The 19,913-nt window shown below is 37.2% G+C and overlaps 1 long non-coding RNA gene across 6 annotated transcripts in view; it reads right to left on the bottom strand.

Annotated features, from left to right (window-relative positions):
* The window catches only part of SOX2-OT (SOX2 overlapping transcript), a 685,549-nt gene that overhangs the window by 130,970 nt on the left and 534,666 nt on the right, over positions 1 to 19,913 (bottom strand). For 3 of the 6 annotated variants that reach the window (NR_004053.3, NR_075089.1, NR_075090.1), the window contains exons 1-2: positions 514 to 925; positions 330 to 398 (exon numbers count right to left, since the gene is read on the bottom strand). This is a non-coding gene — a long non-coding RNA (SOX2 overlapping transcript). Of the gene's footprint in view, positions 1 to 329; positions 399 to 513; positions 926 to 19,913 lie in introns of those variants that run through there. The other 3 variants (NR_075091.1, NR_075092.1, NR_075093.1) reach the window with 1 other exon arrangement.

The following is a 19,913-nucleotide window of genomic DNA, read 5'->3' as shown; positions in this document are numbered from 1 at the left end:
ACTCATTCGGCTGGCTACCATTTGTTATTTACTTAGAACTGTTCTCTACCCACTTTATTTCTAAACAAAAGAGCAACCATAGCTTTAGCTACACCAAACATTAAAAACGCAGGTGTCAGAATCAGGGTCAAAATGAGAACTCAGGCCATTTGGTAGGCAAGTGAGAATTATGTACTATCATGTTGAGGTCAATTGACTTGAAATTTAATCACAGTTTAAACCCCTTTTCTTTCCAGGCTAAAGAGTAAGCAACACCTGTGCCAGCAGCAGCTCACATTGCAGCTGACATAGCAGCTAGTTCAATTTTTAGTTACAAGTCAATTACTTACTGGAATAGAAAGAGAACATTTCATTCATTCCATGGATGGCCACTTTTCCGAAGAAACCTGTCAGGCTTTCTTTCTCCAAAAGAAGAAAAGAGAAAAAAAGTGAAAGTTAAAAATAAGTGATGTACTGCAAAGTTTTAGAGCTAGGCCAGTACACTACAGCAGAGAAGTTGTGCAAATAGCTTACCTTCCAAATACTGAACAGAGCTGTCTTGTAAGTGAGGCCTATCCCAGCTGATAAGTCCTGGGACTTTCCTTATCAGAGTATCAAAATTAGGTAAAATTATAATAGGTGATCTACACCTGAGAAGAGGGACCAGCTGACTGTATGAAAGGAAAGAGCAAATGAGTAAAATGTCTTCCCCCAGCTACAGTCAGCCCTGGTGCAAGGGGAGTTTTCAAATGCACTGGCTATAGACTTTTGTCCAAAGCTGTGGTTCTCTTTTTTTTCTTTTCTTTTTTTTTCTTTCTTTCTTTCTTTTCTTTCTTTCTTTTCTTTCTTTTTTTTTTTTTTTTTTTTTTTTTTAGAGAAGCTAGATTAGTTCATACAAAACTCAACAATACAGCACTGAAACCCATTGTTGATATTCAACATTTTTCACATAGCGGAACAGAATAGACAATACGGTATCTAGGAAACCATGGGCTGGATTACAAACTGATGATATCTCATCCTTCTGGGGGCCTGTAATCCTTTTTATTACCTACCACGGTAAAAAAAAAAAAAAAATCACTATGTGTGTGGGGAACTCTCTCAGAATAAATCAATAACATTGCCATTCTTAGGAAAATAGGATAAATTAAAATGAAATCTTGCTTACAGCACTAAGTCCCTAAGTGTGCCATTTGCCTTTTATGCAAGTTAATGATTTTTTAAATTGCTCTTATCTTAACCTTTATATAAACTTCCATAGGTTCAAAAAAATTAAATTATCTGTAAATATTTGCTTAAAAACAGTGTTCACAATTAGCTTGTATGTTCTATTTCTCATAATAAATACTTGGAAAGTTATTTATTTCAAAGTGTCCAAGATTAGAACCTAAGGCATGAGTGCAAAGTAATTTTCATTAATTTGTTTTAAATACATGTGTTGGGTTATTAGTAAACTATATTTATTCCTCCATTAGGAACACACTGAAATTCAAGGTCTTCTGGGCTTATTTACCTGATCTAATTAAATAAATAATTTTTACTTTTAAACTTTTCATTGTCTTTAAAATTTTTCATTTTTAAAATGCATTTCCTGATTATGCATAACTGCAAAGCCATCCTTTACAAAGAAGTTATGCCTATTAACCTTTTTGAAAATCTGGTCCAATCCCTTTTTAAAATGCAATCCAGTTCCCATACTTTTCTTATGCCTCCAAATGGTCTAGGTAGCCACAGAAGTGATTGTTCCTACCAGTTTCTTTTCATCACTTCTGCAATTGACCAATTGACAACTGATTGATGGTTATCTTTTCACTTCAACAATGAAAGAAATTACCATCACTATAGCTATGTACAGTAAATGCCTCCAGAGTAAATTGCATGATTCTAAAATTCTCCTTAGCTCACTTAGTAAAACATCAACACAAAAAAGTTTCTTTTTTGCGCCTCCTTTCCTGTACCACAGATTTGGCCTTTCCTGTCAACTGCAAAAAAAGAACTTGACAGCTTCTTTAAAAAGAGGAGTATAAAGGAACTTGAATAAAGGATGGCACTGGGCCTGTCTCAAGCAAGTGGCCATTCTTTTGCACTTGGAAAAAAATTAGGCATGTGAGCACAGATAAGCCCTATAAGAATACTCTAAGGACTATTCCTGGTGACCTTGAGATTCTCTTTCCTGCCTTAACCATTCCTGAACATTAGAGAAACAATATAGATTCTGAACATGGAGTTGCCAACTTATTTCAACTAGGATTTTTTTTATTGAAAGTGAAACATCCTTAAATTTTTTAACTTCCTTTTTTCTTTAGCATTGCGAAGACTCCCTTGCTCTAACAGTGCTCCAAAAAATGCTATTATGCAAGCGTCACATTCATTCATTACATGTTGATGGACAAGAGTTTAAATTCTACCCCAAATCTAAATTTACTGTAAATGTATATTTTATTCTTACATGAAAGCTCTGAATCTTGTCAAGGAAAGGTATTCAAATATCTTTCTTTCTATCCCTGTGCAATTAAAGTTATTTTTTCTAAGTGAAGTGAATATGCTGCTATAAAAGATTGGGCTGATTTACTGTCTTATTCTCCCACTCCAACTTTAAGATCACTTTTTTTTTTTTTTTGAGATGGATTTTCACCCTGTAGCCCAGGCTGGAAAGCAATGGTGTGATCTCGGCTCACTGCAACCTCCGCCTCCCAGGTTCAAGCAATTCTCTGCCTCAGCCTCCCGAGTAGCTGGGATTATAGGCACCTGCCACCACGCACGGCTAATTTTTGTATTTTTAGTAGAGATGGGGTTTCACTATCTTGGTCAGGCTGGTCTCGAACTCCTGACCTCGTGATCTGCCCACCTTGGTCTCCCAAAGTGCTGGGATTGCAGGCATGAGGCACCAGGCCCAGCCTAAGATCACACTTTTAAAGTGAAAAAAGAAAAAAAAAATAAACCTACGCAAACCTGAGTAGATGAGAAGGGTGATTTTTCCCTATTTCCCTTGATGTTTCAGGTCCATAAAATTTGTTCTACTGAATATTAAAAAAAAAATGAACTATAGTTTTATTGTCTAGAATTACTTGGCACAGTAAAACTTTTGCCACTTCATCAATATTATTAGGAATAAATAATTCTTATTCACTAATGACTCCATCTAAGATGGGCTAGTTTTCTGCTATTTCTGACCTCAGTTATTTAATCAAATAAGTTTTTATTAAGTACCAACTTTATGTTTTTTACACGGTAGGCTCTGTAGAATGCATGAGAAATATGAGACGAGATTCCGCCCAGCAGAAGTAGATAATTTCTTTGTGGAAACAAGATATACTGTGGGAAACAGATACTGAATGAAGATGCACATATTATGTAGATACATATACCTGAAATATTATATATTTTCACATACTTGGCATAAAGATGATGCTAAATTTTATTCACTTAAAAATGATTCATAATCTTTCCCATTACCTTTGCAATATTTGTCAGTGATATTATTATTCAAATATCCCAGGTGACATTCATGAAATATCACATTTATATCTATAGTTGATCTCTAAACACATACTTGTACTCGTCTAGACCTACCACAGGTCATAGCTGCATTAATAAAATTGACTCAAGATGCTCTAGTCTACCATATTTAGCCTCGATCCTTTACCCACAACATGATAGCTGGAATAACCTTACTACAACTTAGCTTTCATCATGTTACATATACCTTGGTTGTAGAATCTATAATGCCTTTTTTTCTTTTTTTTTTTTTTTTTGTTTTTCTTTTGCTTATTGCATGAGGTCTAAACTTCCCTGCTCAGTTCCCAGGGCTCTACAAAATACAGTTTCTTGGTAGCACCTCTCTAACATTATTTCCCATCAACCAGCTTGCTATTTATTAATAATATTTCTTACTATTACATACATGCCTAGATGCACACCATGACATTTCATCTTTTATCTTTATCCTATGTATTCAAGGTCCAAAATTACCATAGTACACTTATGAATCTTGTCCTGCAGTAGCATTCATGCAGATCTCTCTATTCCTACATATGTTTTACAGTTATTATTAGTGTTATTATTATTATTTGATACAAGGTCTTGCTCTGTCACCCAGGCTGGAGTGCAATGGCATGATCATAACTCATTGTAACCTCAAACTCCTGTGCTCAAGTGATTACCCTGCCTCAGCCTCCTGAATAGCCAGGACTACAAAGATGTGCCACCATGCCTGGCTAATGTTATTTTTATTTATTTATTTTGGTAGAGACAGGGGTCTTGCTATGTTTCCCAGGCTTGTCTCAAACTCCTAGCTTCAAGTGATCCTTCCATCTCTGTCTTCCAAAGTGCTGGAATTACTTCATTTATTATTGAGTTTGATATACATTTGGCTCAGTTCTAATGCCACCTCTCTTACGAAGATTTCCTTATCAAATGAGATAAAATAAATCTGTTCTTCCAGTAGACTCAATAGTTCTTGGCACGCATCTTTATTATAACAGTCATAATCTTGAATTGTATTTGCATATTATTTTTCCCAGGTAGAAGTTAAACCCCATGAGGAAAGGAACTAATCGTATGTATCTTTTTATGTCCAGTTATTGACATATAGATGCTCAATTAATGGTTATTTGATAAAGACATGATCCTTGTTCCTAAGAAACTCTCATTTCGGGGAGAAGTTTCTATTAGCTGTGAGATTAAGATGGTAACTGAGTAGCTAAACAAAAAGTATTGGCAGTTGGAACAACAAGTAGTTCGTTTAAAAAGTAAATTGAAAATGTAAAGTGAGTATTTAAATGTTTTCATAGTGAAGACTATCTCAAAGCCAATCACTTGGGACATAGAAAATAGCAATTGATACATAGTTGCATTTTTAGGCTAGTCCAAAAAATGCCTATTTGATCATAACCTAGCTGAGTTGTAGTAACAGCCATTTATTGAACACTTGGTAGTTTGAAGCACTGTAATAAGTACTAAAAATTATTTCATTTACTTTTCAAGATAACCTCATGAGGCGGGTATTATCATTGCTATTTTACAGATAGGAAACTTGGACTTAGAGAGGTTAACAGTTGCTCGAGGCCACCTAGACAGTGAATGGCAGAGCTGGGATTGGCTCTAAGGCTCCCATGCTTTACATTACTCAAAACTGACCCCACTAGTAGAGATCATGTTAATCCTTAGTTAATGATTCTGAGGAATCTGTATGTGATGAACATGAGGGAAGAAAAGAAGAAGGAAGATGATTTTCTATTCGTTTCTTCATCGTACAATGAGTTTCAGGTACCATAGTTAAAAATTACTCTTTGTGTATTCTGATTTTTCTTTCTTCACACATATCTTACTGCCTCAGATACCCGTCTCAATCTTTCAGGTTACCATTGTCCGGGTTTTTTTGAAAACTTCTCTGTGGGCCTCTACTTAGACTGTCAATGTTCTTCATACTCCCTTCTTTGCTCATTCAAAATACCTATTACTTTAGGACATATGGTAATATAAAACCAACCTAGATAAAGTGATTCTTGCCAACATGTCAATGATGGATGGATGTTGGATTCTTCTTCTTAATAAGCACTTAGAAACAAATGCTTATTAACCTGAGTGAATATGCAAGGATAAACATTTCAAGCCTTGAAGCTATGCAAAGTAAAGCAGGTATTTCCCACAGAAGCCTTAATGTATGAACAGAAGGGAGTTTGAAACAATATATGATGGTGATGTGTGTGAATGTAAGAAATTGTGTAAGCAGGCCAGGCCTCCCTAAGAATCAGCTTCCTTAGTGATTTTTAATTTGGGTGGTGGAGTCACAGATCCTTTGGAGAATATGTTGAAGGCTACGCACTCCCTCCCTGGCCACACACGACCCTTTTGCTTATTATTTTATGGAATTAATGGACTTTGGAGGAAACCATGGGGCAAACCCCTACCCAAGGCTATTGCTTTTCTGAGTGGTATTTCCTTTCCTCTGCTTCTAAACATATGTATCTTAACCATGATTGCATGTTACAGTTAACTGGGGAGCCCATTACCAGATATTTTGATGTAATAGGCCAGTAGTGGGTCCTGAGTAGCAGTAATTTTCTTTCTTTCTTTTTTTTATTTTTGAGACAGAGTCTCGCTCTTTCGCCCAGGCTGGAGTGCAGTGGCGCTATCTCGGCTCACTGCAAGCTCCACCTCCCAGGTTCACGCCATTCTCCTGCCTCAGCCTCCCGAGTAGCTGGGACTACAGGCGCCCACCACCACGCCCGGCTAATTTTTTTTTTTTTTTTTTGTATTTTCAGTTGAGACGGAATTTCGCCATGTTAGCCAGGATGGTCTTGATCTCCTGACCTTGTGATCTGCCTGCCTCGGCCTCCCAAAGTGCTGGGATTACAGGTGTGAACCACCAAGCCTGGCCAGAGTAGCAGTAATTTTCAAAAGGCTATCCTAGTGATTCTGTTGTGCAGCTATGTTTAAAAACCGTTTTCTAAGCCAGTGATGCTCAAAGCATTGTGCCTGAAACAGCAGCATCAGCATCACTTGGAAATTTGTTAGAAATACAAATTCTTGGACCCACCACAGACCTACCGAATCAGAAAACTCTGGGCATAGAGTCAAGCAACTTGTCTTTTAACAACACTTCCAGGTAAATTCTGATGAAATCTTAAGTTTGAGAACTGCTGTTCTAAGCGGAGACCTTAGGAACTCTGAGAAACAACTCAATGGCAATGGCCTCATACTTGACTGGTTCTCAAGGTTGTGATTGCTTTGTGAATTAGTGGTTGTTTTAATGTATGGATGGCATAAGAGGGATGGCAGCACAGAGGTAATCATTCTGTCAACAGGAGATATAAACATGAGCGACATTGTAATAGAAAGGGCAATTTAAGCTAGCAGAGCGGATGAATTATCTGAAAGTATGCAGCATGTACAGTGAGAAATGAGCCCAAGTGCTACAATACAGGGAATACTTACAGTTGGAGACAAGATGGGGAAGAAACACCAGCAGAAAGGAGAGAGAAAACTGGCAGAGAGACAGGAAGGAAATCTGAATGAGGCAGTGACACAGAAACCTAAAGATAGGCTGGTCAATCTGCAGTTTAAAATGGGGCCTGAAGTTGATTCACTTGATCTTAGAAATTGAAAAAGGATTTGGCTAGAACAGGGGTCCCCAACCCCTGGGTCACAGTCTAGTACCAGTCAGCCACACAGCAGGAGCTGAGTGGCAGGCAAGTGAAGATCTGTATTTACAGCTACTCCTCATTGCTCACATTACTGCCTGAGCTCTGCCTCCTAACAAATCAGCGGCTGCATTAGGTTCTCACAGGAGCGTGAACCATATTGTGAACTGCACATGTGAGGGATCTAGGTTGTGTGCTCCTTATGAGAATCTAATGCCTGATGATCTGTCACTGTCTCCCATCACCTCCAGATGGGACTATGTAACTGCAGGAAAACAAACTCAGGGCTGCTATTGATTCTATATTATAGCACATTGTATAATAATAAAGAGCACAATAAATGTAATGCTCTTGAATCATCCCAAAACTATCCCCCCTGCCCCTGGTTTGTGGAAAAATTATCTTCCACAACACTGGTCCCTGGTGCCAAAAAGGTTGGGACCACTGGGCTAGAAGGAAGTCATTGATAGCTTTTGAGGAATTTAATAGTGGGATAGAGGTAAAGCCAGATAGCAGGCATTCAGAAGAGAATGGGAGGAGATAGATGAGCTTAGTGGGTATAAACAATGTCTTTTAAGGAGTTGGCTCAGAAAGAAGAAAGGAGGACAGTTATTGGGAGCAGCAGGCTCAAGGAAGCCAGTGTAAGTTGGGAGAAGTATACATATTTTAAGAAATAAAGGAAGAGGCCTTCAGGAGAACAAAGTCAGGAGTAGGAAAGAAGTGAAAGGACTCAGAGATGCCTTAGGAATAGAAAAAGAAAGGGAAGGACTCATGCAGGAGAAGGGTTGTGAAGGCAAAGATGATGGATATGAAATAGGTCATGCCTGATGGCATCAAACTTATTTGTGAAGTAGGAGTAAAATCATTTACTGAGGCATTATTATTATTATCATTGTTATTGGATAAAGGATGGCAGAAAGTAGAGGTGCATAGGGATTAACAAGAGGAAAAAAACTAAAATGAGTCAAAATTGCATTTCTTTATGGCCTGACACTTGCTGCTTCTTTCTACTTACAAGTCTCTCTTTTGCATACTTCTATAAAGTTAACTGTCTCCTGCTTAACTTAGCTTTCCTGACTCTTTTGGTGGCTCTTTTTCTACATGCCCCATAACAGGTCATGATCCCCAGGGTTTGTTTGCCCTTAGCCCTCTTCTCTTTTCAGTCTCCACTTCTTTCCTGGCTCCACTTCTGTAAGCTTTGTCAATCTGGTTATCAAATTCATATGCAGCCCCAATGTTTCTTCTGAATTCTAGATCTGCACTTAGCTGTTTTTAGTATCTCAGTTTCACTATGTGTAAAATCAAACTCTTCATCCACTTTACTGTAAACTAACTTAAACACGTACCTCTGACTTCAGCATGCTTGTCTATCTCAGCAGCTTCACCATTAATTGCCTGAGTTTCCAAAGCAAAAAGCCATCAACGATCTCTTCTTACTCATCAGTCCTGATAACTAACAATTGTCTAATTTTTAAAATCAATTTTATTTATCAAATGTTGCATTTTTTTTTCCTGATTCATATATCGAAGTTTTTTTTTTCCAACTTTTTTTTTAAGTTCAGGGTACATGTGCAGGACATGTATCAAAGTTTAATTTTCCATCCTCTTACATAATAACCTTCTTGCAAATCTCTTTGGTTCTAATATTTCCCCTCTTTAACTAACTCATCCTCCATTTTATGACAGGAGATTTCATTCTACAATGCAGATCTGTGTGTGCCTCTCACTTTCCCATGTCCTACAGCTGTGGTTTCCATAGTGTTCTGAAGAACTCAGGGTTTGCTAGAGATCTTTTAAGGACCTCAAATTAAAAATCTGATCATGAAAATGAACTTATATCATTAATCACAGTCTTTTACTGTATCATACCTGATAGAGATGCACATATCAGTGGAGAGAAGTACAGATGTTTCTTGATTCACGATGGGGTTACATCCTGATAAACCCATTGTAAGCTGAAAATACCATAAGTTGGGCCAGGCGCGGTGGTTCATGCCTGTAATCCCAGCATTTTGGGAGGCTGAGGCAGGCAGATCACTTGAGGTCAGGAGTTCAAGACCAGCCTGGCCAACATGGCAAAATCCCATCTCTACTAAAAATACAAAAATTATGCCGAGTGTGGTGGCTCATGCCTGTAATCCTAGCACTTTGGGAGGCCGAGGCGGGTGGATCACAAGGTCAGGAGATTGAGACCATCCTGGCCAACATGATGAAACCCCGTCTCTACTAAAAATACAAATATTAGCCAGGCATGGTGGTGTGTGCCTGTAATCCCTGCTACTCGAGAGACTGAGGCAGGAGAATCACTTGAACCCAGGAGGTGGATGTTGCAGCAGTGGGCTGAGATCACGCCACTGCACTCCAGCCTAGGTGAGTAAGACTCCACAAAAAAAAAAAAAAAATTAGCCAGGCTTGGTGGTGGGTGCCTGTAATCGCAGCTACTTGGGAGGCTGAGGCAGGAGAATTGCTTGAACCCAGGAGGCGGAGGTTGCAGGGAGCCCCTATCACGCCACTGCACTCCAGCCTGGGTGACAGAGTGAAACTCTGTCTCAAAAAAAGAAAAAAAAAAAAACGAAAGAAACAAAGAAAATACCATAAGTCAAAACTACATTTAATACCTGATCTACTGAATATTATGGCTTAGCCTAGCCTACTATCTTATATGTGCTCAGAACATTTATATTAGCCTATAGTTGGGCAAAACCATCTGACAACACAGTACATTGGAGACTATTGGTTGCTTACCATTGTGATCATGCGGCAGACTAGAAGCTGCACCTCCCTGCCACTGCCCAGAATCTTGGGAGTCTTGCATTGCATATCACTAGCCAGGGAAAAAAATCAAAATTCAAAATTTAAAGTGTGGGTTCTACTGAATACACATGCTTTCTCACCCTTGTAAAGTCAAAAACTCTAAGTTAAACAATTGTAAGTCAGAGACTGTCTGTACATCAAGTCATTAGATAGACTATTAGAGAAAAATAGTTGATACCATTATCTTATAATGCATCCAGAGAAAAATTTTAAAAATGCATCCACGATGCTTAAAGAATAAGCATGAAGGCACAAAAACTTTCCAAACCAACTGGACCAAAGTCCAATATTGCCAATTACTCTATTTCGCATATCTTTGCATGCAAAAAGAGATGTATTATAAATAAAATATGTAACATATATGTAACAGGAGAAGGTACTTAGATCAGCTTTGATATATTAAATCAGGTGGAAAGAATGTAGAAAGCTGTATATGTACTTTTGGCACAAAAACAATAGTAGAGAAAATAGCAGGAGTAGTGATTTTTATAAAAGTTATTACTGATAATGTGTTTGATTAATCATTTAATTTGCATAGGCAAGCATTAGCCCTTAAGAAAAGTGCTGCTTTCTTTTCAAGCCAGTTTGTTTATTCTATGCAGATCAACAATTTTACTAATACATAGTCTTTAATACTCCAGGACATTGGTCTGAGCAAAAATTTCTTGAGTGAGACTTCAAAAGCACAGGCAACCAAAACAAAAATGTGCAAATGGGATCACATCAACTTAAAAAGCTTTTGCACAGCAAAGGAAACAATCAACAAATTGAAGAGACAATCCACAGAATGGGAGAAAATATTTCCAAATTGCCCATCCAACAAGGGATTAATAAACAGAATATAGAAGAAACTCAAACTTAATAAGAAAAAACAACCTGATTAAAAATGGGCAAAAGATCTGAATAAGCATTTCTCAAAAGAAGACAGACAAATGGTCAACAGGTATATGTAAAAGTTCTCAACATCACTAATCACCACAGTAATGAAAATTAAACTACAATAAGATATTATCTCACCCCAGTTAAAATGGCTTTTATTCAAAAGACAGGTAATAACAAATGCTGGTGAGGATGTAGAGAAAGGGGAATGCTTACATTCTGTTGGTAAGAATGTTAATTAGTGCAACCACTGTGGAGAATAGTATGGAGGTTCCTCAAAAAACTAAAAAAAAATAACTACCATATGCTCCAGCAATCCTACTGCTGGGTATATATCCAAAAGAAAAAAAATCAATATATCAAAGACAGATTTATACTACCATATTTATTGCAGCACTATTCACTATAGTCAAGATATGGAAACAATCTATCAGAGGCTGGGAAGGCAAGTGGGGAGGAGGAAGTAGAGATGGTTAATGGGTACAAAAACATTCTATTTTTAACAACAGAATGAATAAGATCTAGTATTTGTTAGCACAAAAGGATGACTATAGTTTACCACAATTTATTTTATATTTAAAAATAACTAAAACAGTAGAGTTGAAATGTTTTTAACAAAAAGAAAGAATAAATGCTTGAGGTGATGGATACCCCAATTACCCTGATTCAACTGTTATACATCATATGCCTGTTTCAATACATCACATGTCCCATCAATGGGATGTATCTCAAAACAATAAGAGCTATCTATGACAAACCCACAGCCAATATCATACTGAATGAGTAAAAACTGGAAGCATTCCCTTTCAAAACTGGCAAAAGACAGGGGTGCCCTCTCACCACTCCTATTCAACGTAGTGTTGGAAGTTCTGGCCAGGGCAATCAGGCAGGAGAAAGAAATAAAGGGTATTCAATTAGGAAAAGAGGAAGTCAAATTGTCCCTGTCTGCAGATGACACGATTGTATATTTAGAAAATCCCATCATCTCAGCCCAAAATCTCCTTAAGCTGATAAGCAACTTCAGAAAAGTCTCAGGATACAAAATCAATGTGCAAAAATCACAGGCATTCTTATACACCAATAACAGACAAACAGAGAGCCAAATCATGAGTGAACTCCCATTCACAATTGCTTCAAAGAGAATAAAATACCTAGGAATCCAACCTACAAGGGATGTGAAGGACCCCTTCAAGGAGAACTACAAACCACTGCTCAACGAAATAAAAGAGGACACAAACAAATGGAAAACCATTCCATGCTCACGGATAGGAAGAATCAATATCGTGAAAATGGCCATACTGCCCAAGGTAATTTAGAGATTCAATGCCATCCCCATCAAGCTACCAATGACTTTCTTCACAGAATTGGAAAAAACTACTTTAAAGTTCACATGGAACCAAAAAAGAGCCCACATTGCCAAGTCAATCCTAAGCAAAAAGAACAAAGCTGGAGGCATCACGCTACCTGACTTCAAACTATACTACAAGGCTACGGTAACCAAAACAGCATGGTACTGTTACCAAAACAGAGATATAGACCAATGGAACAGAATAGAGCCCTCAGAAATAATACCACACATCTACAACCATCTGATCTTTGACAAACCTGACAAAAACAAGAAATGGGGAAAGGATTCCCTATTTAATAAATGGTGCTGGGAAAACTGGCTAGCCATATGTAGAAAGCTGAAACTGGATGCCTTCCTTACACCTTATACAAAAATTAATTCAAGATGGATTAAAGACTGAAATGTTAGACCTGAAACCATAAAAACCCTAGAAGAAAACCTAAGCAATATCATTCAGGACATAGGCATGGGCAAGGACTTCATGTCTAAAATATCAAAAGCAATGGCAACAAAAGCCAAAATTGACAAATGGGATCTAATTAAACTAAAGAGCTTCTGCACAGCAAAAGAAACTACCATCAGAGTGAACAGGCAACCTACAGAATGGGAGAAAATTTTTGCAATCTACTCATCTGACAAAGGGCTAATATCCAGAATCTACAAAGAACTCAAACAAATTTACAAGAAAAAAACAAACAGCCCCATCAAAAAGTGGGCAAAGGATATGAACAGACACTTCTCAAAAGAAGACATTTATGCAGCCAACAGACACATGAAAAAATGCTCATCATCACCGGCCATCAGAGAAATGCAAATCAAAACCACAATGAGATACCATCTCACACCAGTTAGAATGGCGATCATTAAGAAGTCAGGAAACAACAGGTGCTGGAGAGGATGTGGAGAAATAGGAACACTTTTACACTGTTGGTGGGACTGTAAACTAGTTCAGCCATTGTGGAAGACAGTGTGGTGATTCCTCAAGGATCTAGAACTAGAAATACCATTTGACCCAGCCATCCCATCACTGGGTATATACCCAAAGGATTATAAATCATGCTGCTATAAAGGCACATGAACACGTATGTTTATTGTGGCACTATTCACAATAGCAAAGACTTGGAACCAACCCAAATGTCCAACAATGATAGACTGGATTAAGAAAATGTGGCACATATACACCATGGAATACTATGCAGCCATAAAAAATGATGAGTTCATGTCCTTTGTAGGGACATGGATGAAGCTGGAAACCATCATTCTCAGCAAACTATCGCAAGGACAAAAAACCAAACGCCGCATGTTCACATTTATAGGTGGGAATTAAACAGTGAGAACACATGGACACAGGAAGGGGAACATTACACACTGGGGCCTGTCGGGGGTAGGGGGAGCAGGGAGGAATAGCATTAGGAGATATGCCTAATGTAAATGACGAGTTAATGGGTGCAGCACACCAGTATGACACATGTATACATATGTAACAAACCTGCACGTTGTGCACATGTACCCTAGAACTTAAAGTATAATAAAAAAATTAAAAAAAGAAAAAAAAGTATCCCTAATTTAATAGGTGAAAAATTCGACTTCATTGTTGCTTTAATTTGCATTACTTTAATTATGAGTATGGACACTTTTTCCACATTTGTTTACTGATGATGTTGCTGTTTGTGAATAAGATGTGTTTGTTCCTACCCCTTCCTACCCCTAATCTTTCTGGCAGAAAATAAAAAGATTGAAGTTGGAAAAAAAATCACGTGTCCCATAAATATATACAACCATTATGTACTCATAATAATTTTTTAAAAGGTGTAGTCATTAAATAAAAGACTCTTTATTTTTCACACAGTTTTTCAACATTTATCAACTACCTACTATGTGTACTAGATAATGTAGTCTGTTTCAAAATTCACATTTTGGTAAATGAAATTTGCTGGCCCTCTCCCAACAAGGTATTGATATATTTCAAATAAACAATAATCCACATTTAGCTACATCTTTCTCAGTGATACAATAATTGTGCCAGCTTTCATATCTTTCTGATAATTTTTCACGAGCTGAAAAAAGCCCAATTTTATAATGTTTACAACAAAAGATGAAATACTAGAAGGGAAACTGAACACTATTGAGACTCGATGTATAAAACAAAATAAATGAGTGCCTTTAAAAAGTTGAATATCTGGCCCTATTATAACTTACTAGTATCAGTATCTGTTACAACATCTTCCTTACCTCACCCCATCTAGTTTTAATTTAAGAAGCTGTATACATCTGCTTGCTTAAGGTCGTACCTCTGTGATGGTGTTCATGCTTTGCATGTGTGTGTGTGTGTGTGTGAGCACGCACGCACGCACGCATAGTTGTGTGTGTGTGTATTTTCCAAGTAGTGATTAAAATTATTTCTAAAATTAGACCTAGGTTTAAATAAAAATTCTGTCACTTACCAACTACATAACTCCAATATTAAACTGTGGATGACTTAGTTTTCTCCTACGTGGAAGAGAATAATAATAGTAGCTTCCTTATTCAGTTGTTAGGAGCAAAAATTAGATAATGTATGGGAAATACTTAGCCTGGCATACAATAAACTCTAATTTTCAATTAGTTACTGTTGTCACTGTGGTTGTTACTCAGTTAGTTGCTGTTGTTGCCATTGTTGTTACCTGATTTTACTTTAAAAGCCAGTTTAAACAACTACCTTCATCCTGGCTCTGACCATAGGAGGGATGGAATTTGGATTAGGCTTTGATGAGGAGACATGACCCAAACTGCATACCTTAGCCTGTGCATCAAAGGGAGAGAGAAGGATTGAGGATAGAAGGCCTTGTATGGGTTTAGGCAGTTTAGTTAATCCCTTTAAATCTGATTTGTACAATGAGGTTAATGCTTACAAATTTCTACCTGGTTGTTTTCTGGAAGAAAAAAAAAAAAAGCCTATGTGAAAGCTCCTAACCCAGAGGCTAGCACTTGGTAGGAGCACCAGTTTCCTCACCTGCTGTCAGTCAAACCATCTGCTTCTCTTTTTTCTTCCTTTCTTTCTCTGCTTGAACACTAGCTGAGGCCCCTTCCTTAGGCTGTGGCCACATATAATCTCCATGCAGTGCTTCAAGGGACTTGCTGTAAAGGAATTACTTCCCCCTCATCAAAGTAGACACTTCTACTGAAAACCAACTCTGTTCCTCAGTAGAAGAAGAAGGAAACCAGCATTATCATGATGATGATGATCATCATCGTCATCATTTTTTGTATCTTTCTGATAATTTTTCACTAGCTGAAGCATCACCATCATCGTTTTGAAACATCTATGTAAAAGGTCTTGTAGACTCCCTGAAAAAGCATCTTCTTTTTATTCACCTTATTGTTTTCATTGCTTCTCTCTTTGAAGCATATTAGACAATTAAAGCGACTTGGATTCCAGCCTTTTCAATATTTTGATTAAGATTTTATGTTCAGTAGTCAGTGGTATGTAATTTTGGAAGTATAATAAGAATTTTAATTAATTTTCATAGGTTTGCTAATTAAAACAATTAAGAGGTGGAACTTACTCACTGGAAAAATAATTGGAGGATCTCTAGTGAACATTATCCTTGAGGTTTCACACAAGCACAAAATGGTGTAAATTTGTTTTAAAAATAGCTAGAAATCCAAAAGAAGTAATTATAACATCAAGCCAAAGTTGTGTCTGCATTTATCCTTTTTAAAAATAGGAGATAACATTTTCGTTAAGCTTCTGGAAGCTGCTTCTGCCTGCCTCTGTGTTCATGGCAGTAGCAATAATTAGAAGCACCACCAGACTACTTTTTAAAATAACAGCATGATATGTAAACTTTAAACTTTGGAGATAAGTTTTGACAACACAAAGTACTGAGAGGTGAGAAAATGAGGAAAACAAACACTGAGAAAGCCCAAGAAAGTAAAAGAAATATCAAATGTGAATTAAACTACTCTCTGCTGACAGGATGGAGTCCGTAAAGTGAAAGCGTTTCTAACTTTTTAGAAGTCACAGAACCTTTAGGGTGAAAATATATTTTCTAGAAACCTAACACAGGACACAATCCTTGACAGTAGTAGAACCACAGAGTGAATATGAAAAGAAAAAGGAACACATACAGAAATATTCAAGCAGTTAAGCACAGTGGTTAAATGCAAGAGCTTCGGAGTCACTCTAAGTTTTAATCGTTACTTCACTGTTAAAATAGGGTAATGAGACCTATCCCAAAAGATTGTTGTAAGGATTAAATGATTTAATATATGTTAATCACTTAGAACAATGCTCTATCCAAACTAAAGTTTAGTTATTTTTATAATTATCCTCATTTGCATTTAAAGTATGAGAAAATAGTAATTTCTTCAAGTCCAAAGCCATGTCCACTGTGGTAGCTTATTCAAATGATGTTATACAACCTTGCAAGAGGCCCAGAGTTTTCTGGAAATGGCGTTTTAAAACCTCAGCATGTTCATCCAAAGCCTTACAAATGTCGATACCCTTTAATTCCATAATTACATTTAACAGTATCTAGTCTAAGGAAATGATAAAAATGTAAGCAGTTGTATACAAAGATATTCACCACAGTATTATTTATTAAAAAAACTTAGAGGCCAGGCACAGTGGCTCACGCTTGTAATCCCAGCACTTTGGGAGGCTGAGGTGGGTGGATCACGAGGTCAAGAGATCGAGACCATCCTGGCCAACATGATGAGACCCTGTCTCTACTAAAAATACAAAAATTAGCTGGGTGTGGTGGCACGCACCTGTACTCCCAGCTACTTGGGAGGCTGAGGCAGCAGAATCGCTTGAACCCGGGAGGCAGAGTTTGCAGTGAGCTGAGATCGTGCCATTGCACTCCAGCCTGGTGACAGAGCAAGACTCCGTCTCAAAAAAAAAAAAAAAAAAAAAAAAAAACAACAAAAAACAAAATACCAAAAACTTAGAAAGTCTAAATGTCAGAAAAAAGAGGAAAAAATAGTAAATTATTTAAATGGATGATAATATTTTTATACGATGAAATATAATACAATGATTAAAAATGTTGGCCTCTGGTTATCTTTCATAATTATATGTAACATGCTGATGGTATGGAGGTAAGTGAAATCAGCAAAAGATATATAACTTTATTTATAATGTGATCATAATTTACAATATGACTATTTAAAAATATGTCTAGAATATCCCTTTGAAAAGTATACTAATAACAGATTATTTCAGAGGGTTAAAACAGGGACCAGCAAACTTTTTCTGTAAAGGGCCAGGTGGTAAATATTTTAGGTTTCGTGGGGCATGTAGTCTCTGTCTCAAATAAACAACTCTGTTATCGTTGTGTGGAAAGTAGCCATGGATAATAGTAAACAAAGGGGTGTGGCTCTCTTCCAATAACATTTGATTCATAAAAAACAGTTGGTCAACCTGCTGGCTATAATTTGCCAACCCCTGGGTTAAATTTGTGGTGTATTTATTTTCTTTTAAATATTTTTCTATATTTTCTAAATTTTTTTTTCAGTAAGAAAAGCAAAAATTACCCTCATAATTTAAAATAAAACAATAAGTACTATTGTTTGTTATTAAAAAATAGAAAATACCATGGATAGTTAGAAAATGGCCAAGTAGACTTTTGTAACTTAAACATTTGTATCAGGTGCTATGGTCTGAATGTTTCTGTATCTTCAAAGTACATATGTTAAAATCTAAACCCCAAGGTGATGATATTAGGGGGCAGGGCCTTTTGGGAGTAGATTAGGTCATAAGGGCAGAGCCCTTACAAATGGGATTAGTGCCCTTATAAAAAGGCCCCTAGAGAGCTGTCTTACCCCTTTCCACCATGTGAAGACACAAGAAGGCACCATCTATGATTAGGAAATGGGCCCTTACCAAACATCAACTCTGCTGGTGCCTTGATCTTGGACTGCCCAGCATCTAGAACCATGAGAAATAAATTTCTGTTGTTTACAAGCTACCCAGTTTATGGTAGTTTGTAATAGCTGCCCAAGTGAACTAAGATATCAAGTCACATTAAGACTTGCTCAAAAATACATACCTCAAAATAATAAGCACTATCTATGACAAACCCACAGCCATCATACTGCCTGGGCAAAAGCTTGAACTATTCCCTTTGAGAACTGGAACAAAACAAGGAGTCCTACTCTCACCATTCCTATTCAGCATAGTACCAGAAGTCCTAGCCAGAGTAATCAGGCAAGAGAAAGAAACAAAAGGCATTCAAACAGGAAAAGAAGTCGAACTCTCTCTCTTCACTGAAGATATGATTCTGTATCTAGGATATCCTAAACACTCTATCAAAAGGATCCCAGAATTGGTAAACAACTTTAGTAAAATTTCAGGATACAAAATCAATGTACAAAAATCAGTAGCATTTCTATACACCAGTAACATCTAGTCTGAGAGTGAAATAAACAACACAATCACACTTACCATAGCCACAAAGAAAATGAAATACCCAGGAATAGAGCTAACCAAGGAGGCGAAAGATCTCTGCAAGGAGAACTACAAAATACTATTGAAACAAATCAAAATCGGAGACAACACAAATAAATCCAAAAAATTCTGTGCTCATGAATTAAAAGAATCAATGTCATAAAAATGGCCATACTGACCAAAGCAACTTACAGATCCAATGCTATTCCTATCAAACTACTAATGTCATTTTTCACAGAATTAGAAAAAAACTATTGTGAAATTCATATGGAACCAAAAAGAGCCCGAATAGCTAAAGCAATCCTAAGCAAAAATAACACAGCCAGAGGCGTCATACCACCCGACTTCAAACTATACTATATAGCCACAGTCATCAAAACAGTTTGGTACTGGTACAAAAACAGACACATAGAACAATGGAACAGAATAGAAAACTCAAAAATAAAGCCACACACCTACAACCATCTGATCTTTGACAAGGCTGACAAAAACAAGCAATGGGGAAAGGACTCATTCAATAAATGGTGCTGGGATAACTGTCTAGCCATATGTACAAGATTGAAGCTGGACCCCTACCTTTCACAATACACAAAAATTTACTCAAGATAGATTAAAGGCTTAAATGTAAGACCTCAAACTATAAAAATTCTGGAAGACAACCTACAAAATACTCTTCTCAACATTGGCCTTGGCCAAGAATTTTTGGCTAAGTCCCCAAAAGCAATTGCAACAAAAACAAAAATAAGCAAGTGGGACCTAATTAAACTAAAGAACACTCTGCACAGCAAAAGAAACTATCAACAGAACAAACAGGCAACCTACAGAATGGGAGAAGGTATTTGCAAATTATGCGTCCAACAAAGGCCTAATATTTAGAATCCTTAGGGAACTTAAATCAACAAGCAAAAAACAAATAAACTCATTAAATAATGAACAGAGGACATGAACAGACTTTGCTTAAAAGAAGACATACAAGTGATCAACAAACATATGAAAAAATGCTCAGCATCACTAATCATCAGAGAAATGCAAATAAGAACCACAATGAGATAACATCTCACACCAGTCAGAATAGCTATTATTAAAAAGTCAAAAACACAATACAGGGTAGGTTCCAAGATGGCCAAATAGGAACAACTCCAGTCTGCAGCTCCCAGCGTGATCAACACAGAAGATGGGTGATTTCTGCATTTCCAACAGTTACCTGGTTCATCTCACTGGGACTGGTTGGATAGTAGGTGCAGCCCACGGAGGGCAAGCCAAAGCAGGGTGGGGTGTCACCTCACCCGGGAAGCCCAAGGAGTCAGGGGATTTCCCT

Source organism: Homo sapiens, chromosome 3, assembly GCF_000001405.40.
Source record: "Homo sapiens chromosome 3, GRCh38.p14 Primary Assembly".
NCBI lineage: Eukaryota > Metazoa > Chordata > Mammalia > Primates > Hominidae > Homo > Homo sapiens.
Note: the sequence above shows the minus strand (reverse complement) of the source record. Positions and strands in the feature narration are given on the sequence as shown.